The 13444-nt window shown below is 34.7% G+C and overlaps 1 protein-coding gene across 10 annotated transcripts in view; it reads left to right on the top strand.

Annotated features, from left to right (window-relative positions):
• ARHGAP12 (Rho GTPase activating protein 12) overlaps positions 1-11842 on the top strand; it is a 123479-nt gene extending 111637 nt beyond the window's left edge. For all 10 annotated transcript variants that reach the window (XM_017016954.3, XM_047426021.1, XM_011519761.3 and 7 more), the window contains 7 exons: positions 2879-2981; positions 4417-4533; positions 6493-6591; positions 7933-8010; positions 8112-8246; positions 8489-8591; positions 9408-11842. In XM_017016954.3, coding sequence (XP_016872443.1) covers positions 2879-2981; positions 4417-4533; positions 6493-6591; positions 7933-8010; positions 8112-8246; positions 8489-8591; positions 9408-9582 — 810 coding nt within the window. In that variant the 3' untranslated portion in view covers positions 9583-11842. The remainder of the gene's footprint in view (positions 1-2878; positions 2982-4416; positions 4534-6492; positions 6592-7932; positions 8011-8111; positions 8247-8488; positions 8592-9407) is intronic.
• Positions 11843-13444: the final 1602 nt, after the last annotated feature.

Here is a 13444-nt window from a genome sequence, read left to right as displayed (position 1 = left end):
AGTAAGCAGCTGGGAGCTGTACTTTTTTTTTTTGAAACAGAGTCTCGCCATCACCCAGGCTGGAGCAGTGGCACAGTCATAGCTCACTGCAGCCTTGAACTCCTGGGCTCCAGCAATCCTCCCATTCAGCCTCCCAAGTAGCTGGGACTACAAGTGTGCTCCACTGTGCCTGGCTTGCACTTTTTTATACTCTGTATTCTCCTTTTCACCTTTCACCATATGGGGACATGGCTCTTCATTGAGGATCATATTATATTAATGACAGAAATGAAAGATACTACTGATAGGAAATAAAAGAGAACTTTGCCTCTTCTAGCAAATTAGTTATGAAGCTATATATAAATTCTTCCTTTGTAGTTTGTAATATTGCATGATATTTCTGAATCTTGTCCTTTCTTTTCCGTTTATTCCTGAAACCATGAGGGCAGGCCTTTATATCTTAATACCAAAATAAGAGTAACCTCCTAAACAGTTTTTTCCTTATTTAATCTTACCTATCACTGATTCATCCTTAATGCCATTGCCATATGAAACTTCCTAATGTCAATTTTCTAATCCCCTACTGCTCAGAAACTTGCTGTGATTCATTAAAATTCAGCGGTGTAGGCCCAATCTGTCTTTTCAAAATGCACCTTCTATTTTACCCAATATGGACTTTCAGCTCTAGTCACAGTAGTCTGTTCACTGTCTCTTGAAAGCAAGTATGCATGCATTCATTTAACAAATATGTGAATGCCTTATGCATTGGGGACATAGCAGCACACAGTCAGATACTGCACTTTCCTAGACTGAGATTATAGCCACAGACAGATGATTATTCAAGACAGATAACAGTTAATAAAATGAAATGTGATGAGTGTTACGATGGTAGGGGGGTACAGCATTCTGTAAAAACACCAATTAAGTAGGGGCAAACCTAGTGTATTAGTTAGGGAAGGCCTTGCAGAAAAAGTGGATTTTTGTTTTGTTTTGTTTTTTAATTGAGACCTACAGGCTCAGGGAATAAGCCAAGTGAAGAGAGATGATTTTACACACACACACACACACACACACACACACACACACACACACGTTTCTTTCTTTCTTTTTTTGAGACAGTCTTGCTCTGTTACCCAGGCTGGAGTGCAATGGCATGATCTTAGCTCACGGCAACCTCCGTCTCCTGGGTTCAAGTGATTCTCCTGTCTCAGCCTCCCAAGTAGCTGGGATAACAGGCACCCACCACCACACCTGCCTAAGTTTTTGTATTTTTAGTAGAGATGAGGTTTCACCATGTTGTCCCGGCTGGTCTCGAATTCCTCACCTCAAGTGATCTGCCAGCCTTGGCCTCCCAAAGTGCTGGGATTACAGGTGTGGAGCCACTGCACCTGGCCTATATTTTTGATTAAGAAATTTTAAAATACATACTGTTTCCAAAGTGTCAGAAGATAACCAAGGACTAAATGTAGCAAGAGGTGCAAGAACTTTGCAGGGAAAATTACAACTCTTTATTGAGAGACACTGAATAAAACCTAATTAAATGAGAAGTATATTCTGTTAATGCATTTAAAGATTCAATAATGTAAAGATATAATTTTCTTCCAATGACTTACAGATTCGAGATTTTTGAATCTCATTTAAAATCCCAGTAGTTTTTCTGGTAGAACTTGACAAGCTTATTCTAAAATTTATATAGAAATGCAAAAAACTAAGAATACCTAAGACACTCTTGAAGAAGAAAGTAAAAGGACTTGCACCATCATATGTCAAGTCTTTAAAAAGTCATATTCATTAATAAAGTATGGTATCTGTGCAGGGATAAGCATACATACCTGTGAAACAGAATAAAGAACCTAGAAACAGACTCACGTACCTGTGGACACTTTGTGCCAGATAGAGCACTGTAGAGGAAGCAGATGGTGCTGGTGCAGCTGGGAATCCAAGAAAAAACTGGAACCCTTCCTTAAACCATCCACAAAAATAAATTCCAGGTGGAGTAAAGATCTCCATGTGAAGGCAGAGCAAAGGTTTTTAGCTTTGAGAACTCAGTCATTCTTTAATCTGTACAAGCGACCTTAGTTATAGATGAGCTCTAGGATTTCTTTTCTTTTTTTTCTTTCTTTCTTTTTTTTTTTTTTTTGAGACAGAGTCTTACTTTCTCACCCAGGCTAGACTGCAATGGCGCGATCTTGGCTCACTGCAACCTCTGCCTCCCAGGTTCACGCCGATTCTCCTGCCTCAGCCTCCCAAGTAGCTGGGACTACAGGCGTGTGCCACCATGCCCGGCTAATTTTTGTATTTTTAGTAGAGGCAGGGGGTTTCATGATGTTGGCCAGGCTGGTCTCAATCTCATAACCTCAGGTGATTCGCCTGCCTTGGCCTCCCAAAGTCTTTGCTGGGATTACAGGTGTGAGCCACCACGCCTGGCCGCTCTAGGATTTCTTTCCGTTGACAACCGTGAATCTGAAGTATGAGTCTTGTCCTGTTGTTACAGGGTAATACTCTTGTCAGGTCCATGTGTAGAAGTCTTATACTGTTGTCAGAGAATGTAGCTCTATTGTGTTTTTCACCATAGATTATAGCCTTAACCTTTTAACTGTTAGTGTCACTAATATACAGTTGATTAAAATGAGGCAAGATAGCCTCATCATCAGTGTAAACTAACCCATTATCCTGTGAATTTTCAGCAACAATTTCTTTTTTAAAAAAATCAAAATTGATGCCATCTAGGGAGAAAAAAAGTATTTATCAAATATCTAAGTCATACATACTGTATACTAATTGGTTTCCTAAAATTGTTTGGAAGAGTCATTTACAATAGTCATTGTGAGAATTATGCCATTCCAACTATAGTAATACTAGAAGTGTAATATGTGTTTGGGAAATATCTAACCAATAGGCAGTAGAAACTGATGAAGGAATTGAAGAGGAGATACCGGATTCACCAGGAATAGAAAAGCATGATAAAGAAAAGGAACAAAAGGATCCCAAAAAGCTTCGTTGTAAGTTGTCCTTTCCCTATTTTGCTAAGGATTTGTGCTTGTTCTCTTAGCTTTTTGAAGGTTTTAAATACATATATAAAAGCTGAATGGAATGTCCAATGTTACAAAAGGGCTGTGCAGTTAACCAAGTGCAGTCTCAGTGTGTCAGCGCTCTTTCTTCTTGTTAACTCATTATTGTCGTTTTTCAGCCTCATAGTATGCATCCTGTGGCATCACATTAATTTTAAGGTATTGTGCTACTTTCAGAGAAGAAGTATAGTGCATTTCTGTTGAGGCCTCTAGGAAGCTGAACTTCATTGATTTAAAAATATATACTTACTGTTTAAGATTCTACATAGAATCTTATACTTTTTAAGAAGTCAAAAGTCATGGAATATGTACCATAATTTCCTACTGGACACCAGGCATCCATCTCTGGACTAGGATGTGTCTGTGCATGTAAACAGATGCAAGCGTTTCTATCTCCAGATCTTACTACAGAAAGGAGCATAGCAAAAGCCAGCAGCTTTAAGAAAAGCATTTTCTAATGTTGGCCCCTTATGAATTACATTGCTTAAATAGGCCGTTAGCTTTGTGACTTGGTACTTTGTTCAGTCTATTTTAACAAATCCACGTTTAACTGAGAACTTTTTGGCCTTCATATTAACTGAATGATTAGAAAATCAGTACTACTTTTCTGTATTTCTAATGAACTTTAGGCCTATTACTGACATTGTCAACAGGTAGCAATTTAACATAAAAAGTGATTATTTTTTATTCTATATTATAGATTCTTCATGCTCTCAACTTCCCCCAAATAGAATTATTTTCAAGAAATATACCTTTTGAATTTTTGTTACTATAACAGAAAAATCAAGACTAAAGGCAATGGAGGACATTTTCCATGTAGTCCCATTTGTAGCTTAGAGTACAAATAATTATGATGAAAGTTAGCTTAAAATACAAGTATAATAGTTATGATGGTTATATGTCTATATTTATATCTCTATATATTTGTGTGTATATCCAGTTTTCTTATTCAATGAAGATAGGGATTGTTTTGTTGTGTATTTTATGTATTTTTACTTTTTGGTGGTCATTTTACCTTCTAAAACTGATGGAGAATCAATAAAGATAAGTAGTTAATCATTTATGAAATAAAGAATATGTTAGAGTAAATTAGGGATGTCTTGGCAGATATACCATAGAAGGTACAGTTGTCATCTGTTTTTAGTGATAAAAATGAAATGTTTTGTTTGGTTTATAACTTTGAAATGGGGTCTGTGTTAATGTAATTCTTCACATCTTGTCCTTAAACCACATTAAAGTTAAAATAACTGAATTGTACTATGATCTTGACATATGAGGTTAATGTGTTTTGCATGCTAGCTGGAAAAACTTGTATCAAAAAAACTTTATTTTTACAAATGCTCATTACCTGTCTTTTTGTCTTAAGCCTTTAAAGTATCTAGCATAGATTCTTCAGAACAGAAAAAAACCAAGAAAAACTTAAAGAAGTTTCTTACACGACGCCCCACTTTGCAAGCTGTTCGTGAAAAAGGTTATATTAAAGGTTGGTAGGAGAAGTATTGTTGATAATAATGAATGTTGGCCTACGTCATAAATAAAATGTTTCAAATTAAAAACAAACATTTTCAAACAGTAAGAATATTATTCTTTATTCATGTATTCAAGTACAGTGATTAAAAGACATTAAGTAATTAAAATAGTTTTTTTGAAAGTTTATTTTAACTAAAGTAGTGGACAGACATAAATAACACACTAAACTTTTAGAAAGCCTGTTTCAGAGGAACTACATGGATGTGATGGGTGGCAGACTTTTAGAAATTGTGACAATGAAAAGTTTAGTTTTGAGATGCAAAGATCACAATAAATAAGAAATTTTGAATATCACTAACAATAGAAAGAAAAATGAACAAATAATTTTTACCCTTGGCTGTCATTTAAGGTAACTGAAAAATTAGCATAAGGTGTTTTTTTCTAACTAATTTATTTGCCTGTTATTTCATTTATAAGCACTATAATGGACTAACAATCTTTTTTTTATAGGAAAATATTCTTTAAAAAAATCACATTACTTGTGTATGTAGTTCTTACGAGCGTGTTTAATTCCAAAGGTAAAATTTTCTAATACCTGACTTAAAACAATGGCATTTATTTGTAAATAAAAATAAAAGTAAAGATAATATAGTCTATAATGTATATCTCTGTCTCTGATTATTATGAAATTTCTAACAAAGACCATCTATTTGTGAAGCATCTGCATTAAAACACGCAAGCCAGTTTTATTAAGAAGGTATTTAAGGCCAGGTGCAGTGGCTCACATCTGTAAACCCCCCACTTTGGGAGGCAGGAGGATTGCTTGAGTCCAGAAACTCAAGACCAGATTGGGTAACATAGAGAGACCCTCTCTCTACAAAGAATTAGTTGGGTGTGGTGGCACACACCTGTAGTCCTAGCTACTTAGGAGGCTGAGTGGGAGGATCGATTGAACACAGGAATTAGAGGCTGCAGTGCAGCTATGATTGCACCACTGTCCTCCAGCCTGGGTGACAGAGAAAGACTGTCTTAAAAAAAATAAAATAAAATAAAAAAGGTATTTAAGACTTCTAGGAAGAGACTAGCTGATTAATTCAAATTAGGTACTCTCCAATAAAGCATTTGAATTTGTATGATGAGTTCAGAGTCTTTAAAAACTTAAAAAAAAAAAAAAAAAGCCTGGCAAATAAGTGAATAGAAACTGTTGCTAATTTGTTCACCAGGCCTTTTCCCTGAGAAATATAAACTGTTGTCACTTTATGTCCTTATTCATCACTTCAAATTGTTTGTTTTCCTGAACATTTACCACTAATATGGAATTTCAAAACTGTTGGGTTGAAAGATCAATAGAAGAGTATTTGAAATGTATTTTGTGAAATCAAATGTTGGTACGTGATGGACGGACATATGCTTATTTTAATAGTTTTTAAAATAATCAAGTATTTACTAAGTGCCAGGCACAAGCCTAGGTGCTATGAATACCTGTTGGTGTTCAGGAACTACATGGTCCTTGGTCCTCTCCCTCATGAAACTTATACTCAAGTAGGAAGTAGACAAGATAATGTGAAATAGTAACAAATGCTGTGAATCTAACACAGTAATAAAATAGAATGTGTCTAGAACTGGGTTCTCTTAGGTAAGGATGGTCAGAGGGGTTATTAAAGTAGGTGACATTTTAGCTGAGACCAGGAGTGATAAGAAGGAGCCAAATTGGGTAGAAAATTGCTTTCTGCAAAAGCAGTAGAAAGTACAAAGAATTTTCAGGCAAGAGTGAGTAAGGGTTTGTATGAGTTTGGAAACGAATTGTTTGAAGTGAAAAGAAGTAGGCAAGATGCATATTGCATAAGGCATAGGGCCATGTTAAACAATATTTGGTTACGCTGGATGTTTCTGTTGCACTCTGAATGGTTAGCCATTTCATGAACTGAATTTCAGCAAGGTGATTGACTTTTTAAAAATAAATCTTTTTCAGATCAGGTATTTGGATCCAATCTCGCTAATCTGTGTCAGAGAGAGAATGGCACAGTACCAAAGTTTGTGAAGTTATGTATTGAACATGTTGAAGAACATGGTAAGAGAAGGATTTTGATTTTTTTTTTTAACATTAAGCAAACCAGCTTCTTGTTTTGCCATCAAAATTCCTAGAATTTTTATGATTTTGAGTGATGCAAACAGAAGTTCCTTATAGTCCTAAGATGTTAAGAAAATAATTTTGTTTACAAATACTTACATGTTTACACCTGTTTCAAATTAAGATCTCTCCAGGCATCTGCTGAATGTTTGGTACTCACAGTTAATTAAGTATATGCTATTCTTTGATGCCATTTCATTTAAGCATTTGCTTAAAATGAAGAAGGTAGTGATTGTGAAATTGAGCTTGTTTTTAAGAAATAATTTGACAATGTATAAGATCCGAGGAGATTGTGTTTACTTACTAAGTTTCTTCTGTCCTAAAAATCAGATGACATTTTAAATGGTTAAGTCAACCACAAATGTCTCACGAGATAAAAATTTTTATGTCATTTTCTGTAAAATAGGACAAACTAATTTCTATTGTGATTAATTTAAACATAGCTATAATATTTATACTAGTTTTATATACATTAGTATATTGTAATCACATTAACTTATCTCTGTATATCATGAAAGAGATTTTGTACAATTAAAACACATAATTCAATTTGTAATTTCTGCCAGTTACAGATCTCTTGTCCCACTGACTCTTCTTGTCAACATGGCAATAGGGATACTACACTATTGTCTTAATTTGAAGCTAAATGAATAGTACATTCAATAATGTGCTTTAGTAAATTTGTACATTATTATCATTTAATGAATACCTGAAATTTCGGGGCTTAATTGTATGAATTTCAGATGATTCTGTTTCACATATAAAAGAAAATAATAAATTATAGCAAATTATGTATTGTTTTTATAGAACCATTAATTTAGTGGTTATATTAAGTTTACTTATTACAAACACTTAATATGACAGATGCCTTCAATAAAGTTTTTACAATATGTGCATTTACATTATAAAATGGTATGCAAAATATGCATGGGCTGATTTTACCTGCTGACTTCCTTTAATTTTGAATTATCCCCAGATGTTTTCAGAAATTTGAAATTGTTAGTGTTTTAAGATTAATGAAACCATTTCCTTGAGCTGATTCACAGTCTATATGATGAGCAGAGTAGAATTACTGCTGTTTATTAAACAGAATTCAGAGCGAATCTCCATCTCTCTCCCCTGCCAAGCATCTACCAGAAGCCATTTAGAGAAAAAGAATATTTGCCCATTTGATTTTAGGCTAATGCAAATGAGTGGGAATTCTGACACATGCAAACGTGTTCAGAAGAGGCAAAGAAGTACTTTAAACACACACACACACAAATTATTATTGTCTCTTAGGTTTGGATATTGATGGGATATACAGAGTAAGTGGCAACCTCGCAGTGATCCAGAAACTAAGGTTTGCAGTCAATCATGGTAAGATTATATTTACTGTTGTTATTCAGATGCATCACTCATAACTTTTTGAACTGGCTTAAAGTAATTTTTTAAAATGTCCAATTCCTGCTGTTTTTCAGATGAGAAATTGGACTTGAATGACAGTAAATGGGAAGATATTCATGTCATTACTGGAGCCCTCAAAATGTTTTTTCGAGAATTACCAGAACCTCTTTTTACATTTAATCATTTTAATGATTTTGTTAATGCAATTAGTAAGTATGTAATTCTACTCAGTTTTTTCTAGATATTGAAAATTCTTTGCACAGATTAAGCCACCCAATTTTTTTTATCTTACTTTAAGCAAGTATTTTCAACAGATTGTTTTACTCCAAACATTTTAAATGTGACCACCAGATGTCACTGTGTATTACCAAATATCAGCTTCCAAACTGTGACATTGCTTTCAGTTTCATAAGAATTTGCTGTAAAATATCTGGTTATTATCTTTTTTCAGAGCAAGAACCAAGACAGCGAGTCGCTGCTGTTAAGGACCTAATCAGACAGTTGCCAAAGCCAAACCAAGACACAATGCAGATTCTTTTCCGACATCTCAGAAGGTAGGAGGACTGCCCAGTCATGGGATGTGGTATAGCACAAGGGGAAGCGGGAAGGCCTGTGGGGCCAGGGTCACTCAGACTCAGATTTGGATCCCAGCTATGCTACTTGCTGTCTTTGTAACTTGAAAAAGTTACTCAACTCCTTTTAGTATCAGTCTGTCATGGGTAAATGATTTGCTATGAAGAATACAGTAAAGTAGGTATTATATGTGAAGTATTTATGTAATGCTTAGCACATAGTAGGTGTTCAGAAATTGTTGCTAAGGTTAATATGAAGATGAGATTGGATATTAATTGAGGTGTATTAAGTTACCGTCATGGTTCTAGGTTACTACATAGCCACTTTAATAACCAAGTTCTTTCATCTGATAGAAAGTACACTAGAATACTAAAACAAAAAATCCCAGCTAGAGAGAGTTTTTTTTTTTTAAAGAAATTACATAAAATGAGTAAAATGGAAAGTTTAATCTCCACACCCTAATGAGATTTTTTTCCCATCAACTTAATGGAGCAGTCACTGTTACCTGAATTGTAACTCATACTTAAATGTTCTATTTTAAAAACTAAGCTAAAATATCACACATTTTAAGTTTGTTAGAGTATGCTTAATTGTATCTTTCAGCTGTGTTTATCAAAAAGAAAGCTTCACATGGCATTTAGACAGAATTCTACTTGGTTAAATAGTTTATGCATCACCTTAGGAAAATAAGTATTACTTCTCTTTTTAAAATGCAAACTGTTAGGTTTATAATACCATTTGAAGAATTTTCCCTCTCTCTTATTTTCTCTTTTAACAACTTCTTTTTTTCCCTTCAGAGTTATAGAAAATGGAGAGAAAAATCGAATGACCTATCAGAGTATAGCAATTGTTTTTGGTCCCACTCTATTAAAACCAGAAAAAGAGACTGGTAATATAGCAGTTCATACTGTGTACCAGAATCAGATTGTAGAATTAATTCTTCTGGAACTGAGTTCCATCTTCGGACGTTGATTCTTACTGAAGACAACCTGTGGAATAGAAGCTGGATTCCATCAGATTTCAAATGTTTATACACAATGTATTTTATTTTTTGGACCAAGCAGTGACTCTTTGATTTTGCACTTTTTTTTTGAGGGATCAGAAGGGAAGGGGAGAGTCGAGATGTGTGTTAGGCCCTCATATTTGCTGCTTTGTTGCAAGTTGATATAACTGCGTGTAATTATGAATTCATTTTATCCTGAATGTTTGCATTTCATACTCTGAATTTCAGTAAAAATCAAAACTTAAAATTCTAACCAGTCATATACACTGGATAATTTGGTAAGAAAACTGTATTTTTTTTCCCTGAAATTGGATAATGTACTTTCTTCTCAAGATTCATGACTTGATAGAACAATACTTTCAGTTATGTTGCAAAGGCTCTTGGGCATTTTAAACAAAATGAAGTATATCCATTTTGAAACCTGTGTATTTCTTTTTCGGGGTTTCTGCATGCAGTGGCAGTCTTAAGTGCCAAAATTCATTATAACCCCAAAATAACCCCTTGATGAAGGCTTGCTGTCTTTTACTGTGTTACACAGCATCCTTACTGGATATCTTAGTTGCTTGTTTGGGCAGCACACTAATATTACTTAAAACACTGTGATATACTGGAGTTTTAGTTAGCGGAAGTCAGTTCAGGGCATTTTAGGGCTGTCTTGCTATACTGAATTGTAGCTAACAATCCTAATTATATCTAGTACCATACTGAGTTATTGGTATGACCCTGTGGAAACACACATTATTTTATGTAAATATAGGCTAAAGACTTAATGTCCTTTAGCTTGTGTATATAATTGTGTTGTATAGTCTCAGAGTACATTCTAACCCTACATTTCTAATCATTGTTATTGGTAATCTTTTCTGTGAATATTAGGTTTCCTCCAGAAATAGTCCGTTATTTGGGAAAGTTAACTGTGTGCACTTTTAGATATTAACTACATTTACAGGCAAATCACTGTAATGAGAATGGTACTGGAAAAATACTGAATAGACTTGCTAAATGGCACATGCACTACAAGAGGAACCTTTTGGGTTATTTAATATGTACAGAAAACATTAGAAAAAATTTATTACAGAATTCTAATTCCAGTATGAATAGTGGAAACCCATCTGTAAATTAGATGGATGTTGGATGGAAAATGACATTGCTAAATTTGAGAATTTCTTTTTACCTACTAATGTAGATTGCTTTGTATAATAAAACACAGGGTTTGGAAGGTTTTGTTACAGGGAGCATGGTCTGTTGAAGATTTTTAAAATGTATTTTTCTAGATTAACTTCTGTACATGAAATGTCTAATAAAACTATAAGAGGTTTAGAGATTTTTCCATTGGAAATGTGCATTTTGGTTTCTAATTTTTTTGTTTTTTCATTTACTGGCATACTGTTATACCTCATTTTTAAAAATCAACTGAATCCAATATTTCCTGTGGCAAATAACACTTTCCTCATTTCATACCTTTTCTCCTCTCTTCCATGCCAACATTTCTCCACCCACAACGTACACTTTTTATTTCTCCATCAATATTTGAAAGCGAGTGATTTGTGACCAGGATTTTTTTTTCTTAGGGTTGCATTTATAATTTACAGATTGCCTTCCTTGGGAACAAGTATTTTTTTGTATGATCTGTCTAAAAACCTCTCACCTGAATTTTGTGGTAGAAAGTCTGTATTTGTTGTTGTGAGCGTGTTAAATTGATAACAAACCAAACTACTTGATAGCTAAAGCAGATTGTTTCGGGTGGGGAGAAAAAGCCCTAAATCAGAATGTTTATATTTGCCTAAAGATGTCCTTAATAATACAATATGCTTTAGATCTTGCTTATTTAGTGATTGTATACCAGGAAAACAATTAGACTCAAATCAGTGATGTTCTTGTTCTTGGTGTTCATGAACATATATCAAAGATTAAAATTGTCCTGTGTTTCTTGTTTCAAGGTACGTGTGTGTGTGTGTGTGTGTGTGTGTGTGTGTGTGTGAAGTCTTAAATGTTTTATTAGTCTACAGCTAATCAGTTTATTGTAATATTGTATGTACAGTGAGATTAATGTCTTGCGTTTTCATCCTTTGTGAATTAAAAATTCTCACTTGTTTTGTAATAACAAAGCTAGTAATATTTTCCTGTCTTGACAGCTTGGTTTTATAGTAGAAAATATATTAAAAGCTGAAATAAATTATCAGTGGAATTTTATTTGTTAGTAAGTCTTCCTTCATAATGTCATTGAAAAAGGTAGTTGCAGATTTAGAAAAGAAAGTATATTTAAATACATTGTCACATTCCAATTAGAAGAAAAACACTTATTTAAATTTTATAGAAATAAGAAATTTTACCCTTTACTCTGGAGAAAGTACGTTAATTATTAAATAATCTCCAAAAAATGATGTTTATATTTTAGATAGAGACAAATCTATAAATTGTTTTTATGTGAAAAGCACAAATGAAATAATTTGGTGAAACTTTGGACTTAGTGGTAGATGGGTTGTGCGTTTATAACATACACACAAACGTGTGTGTGTGCTAAGTGTTTGTGCACGCCGTTGCTTACATACAAGTGAAAACTCACCAATAATGCAGATACATGGAGACCTTTTTACTATTTCAGTTTCATTCCACGCTTCTTTGCAAGCCCACAATATTGAACATTAAGATAGCAGTGGGCTGGGCGCAGTGGCTCACGCCTGTAATCCCAGCACTTTGGGAGGCCAAGGCAGGTGAATCATTTGAGGTCAAGGGTTCGAGACCAGGCTGGCCAACATGGTGAAACCCTGTCTCTACTAAAAATTCAAAAAAATTAGCCGGGCATGGTGGCAGGCGCCTGTAATCCCAGCTACTCGGAGGCTGAGTCAGGAGAATCACTTGAACCCAGGAGGTGGAGGTTGCAGTCAGCCGAGATCGCACCACTGCACTGCAGCCTGGGTAACTGTGAGACTCCGTCTCAAAAAAAAAAAAAAAAGACAGCAGTGAAGGGAAAATAGTTATTCCATAATTGTGCCAAGAGATTTTTTCCAGCTCATGGGAGAGGCTTCTAATTAAATACTTAAACATGTAGTTTCCCATGACTCGAATTCCTCAAAGATCTTTAGGCATTTTTAAAGAAATACACAGAGGAGTCCACAACACATCTTTTTAGTAAAGAAGAAAATAAAAATAGTCAAGTGGGCGCCACGCTCTCACTAGTCTAATAAAAGTCAAATGTTCAAATATTGCATCTCTATAGAGAATTGAAAATGGGTAGAAAATAAGATTTTATGGAGTTTACTATTCTCCCTGAACTCCAGCCATGAGCTCTAATGATCTTCTTTTATAGAAAGCAATTCTCTGGGTAAGACTACAGAAAGTGTTTAATAGGGCCTTTAGCCTGCATGTTACAGTCTTGGAGGCGGAGCATAGTTTTTGTTGTTATTTTTTTTAAACAGTATTCCAGTGCAGCTAACATAGTACTATTAATTGCAACTTTAGTTTGAGACAAACAAAAACAAAAATCAAATGGGTGCAAAACAAAATCAACTGTCTTACAATGATGGTGTATTAGAATCTGTTGGGAATTCACAGGCTGTGTCCTCAGGCCGGGCAGAGTCAGACTTAGTATTCTAGAGAAGGGGGAGGTACAGAATGCCTAATGAGACATCTGTAACTACCAAAGACAAGGGAGTTCTCCTGAAGAATCTCAATTAGTCTGCTCAACTGAAGTTTTGTGGTCCAGTGGTGGCTGCAAGTATATTCAGCTGGATTGAGCTTTTACAAATTAGCCTTATGTGAATATAGCACTTAAATGAACTCTTTCATTTCCTTCATTGCTTCCCTTCTCCCACAGGGCCGGGGGGGCGGGGG

Source organism: Homo sapiens, chromosome 10 (assembly GCF_000001405.40).
Source record: "Homo sapiens chromosome 10, GRCh38.p14 Primary Assembly".
NCBI lineage: Eukaryota > Metazoa > Chordata > Mammalia > Primates > Hominidae > Homo > Homo sapiens.
Note: the sequence above shows the minus strand (reverse complement) of the source record. Positions and strands in the feature narration are given on the sequence as shown.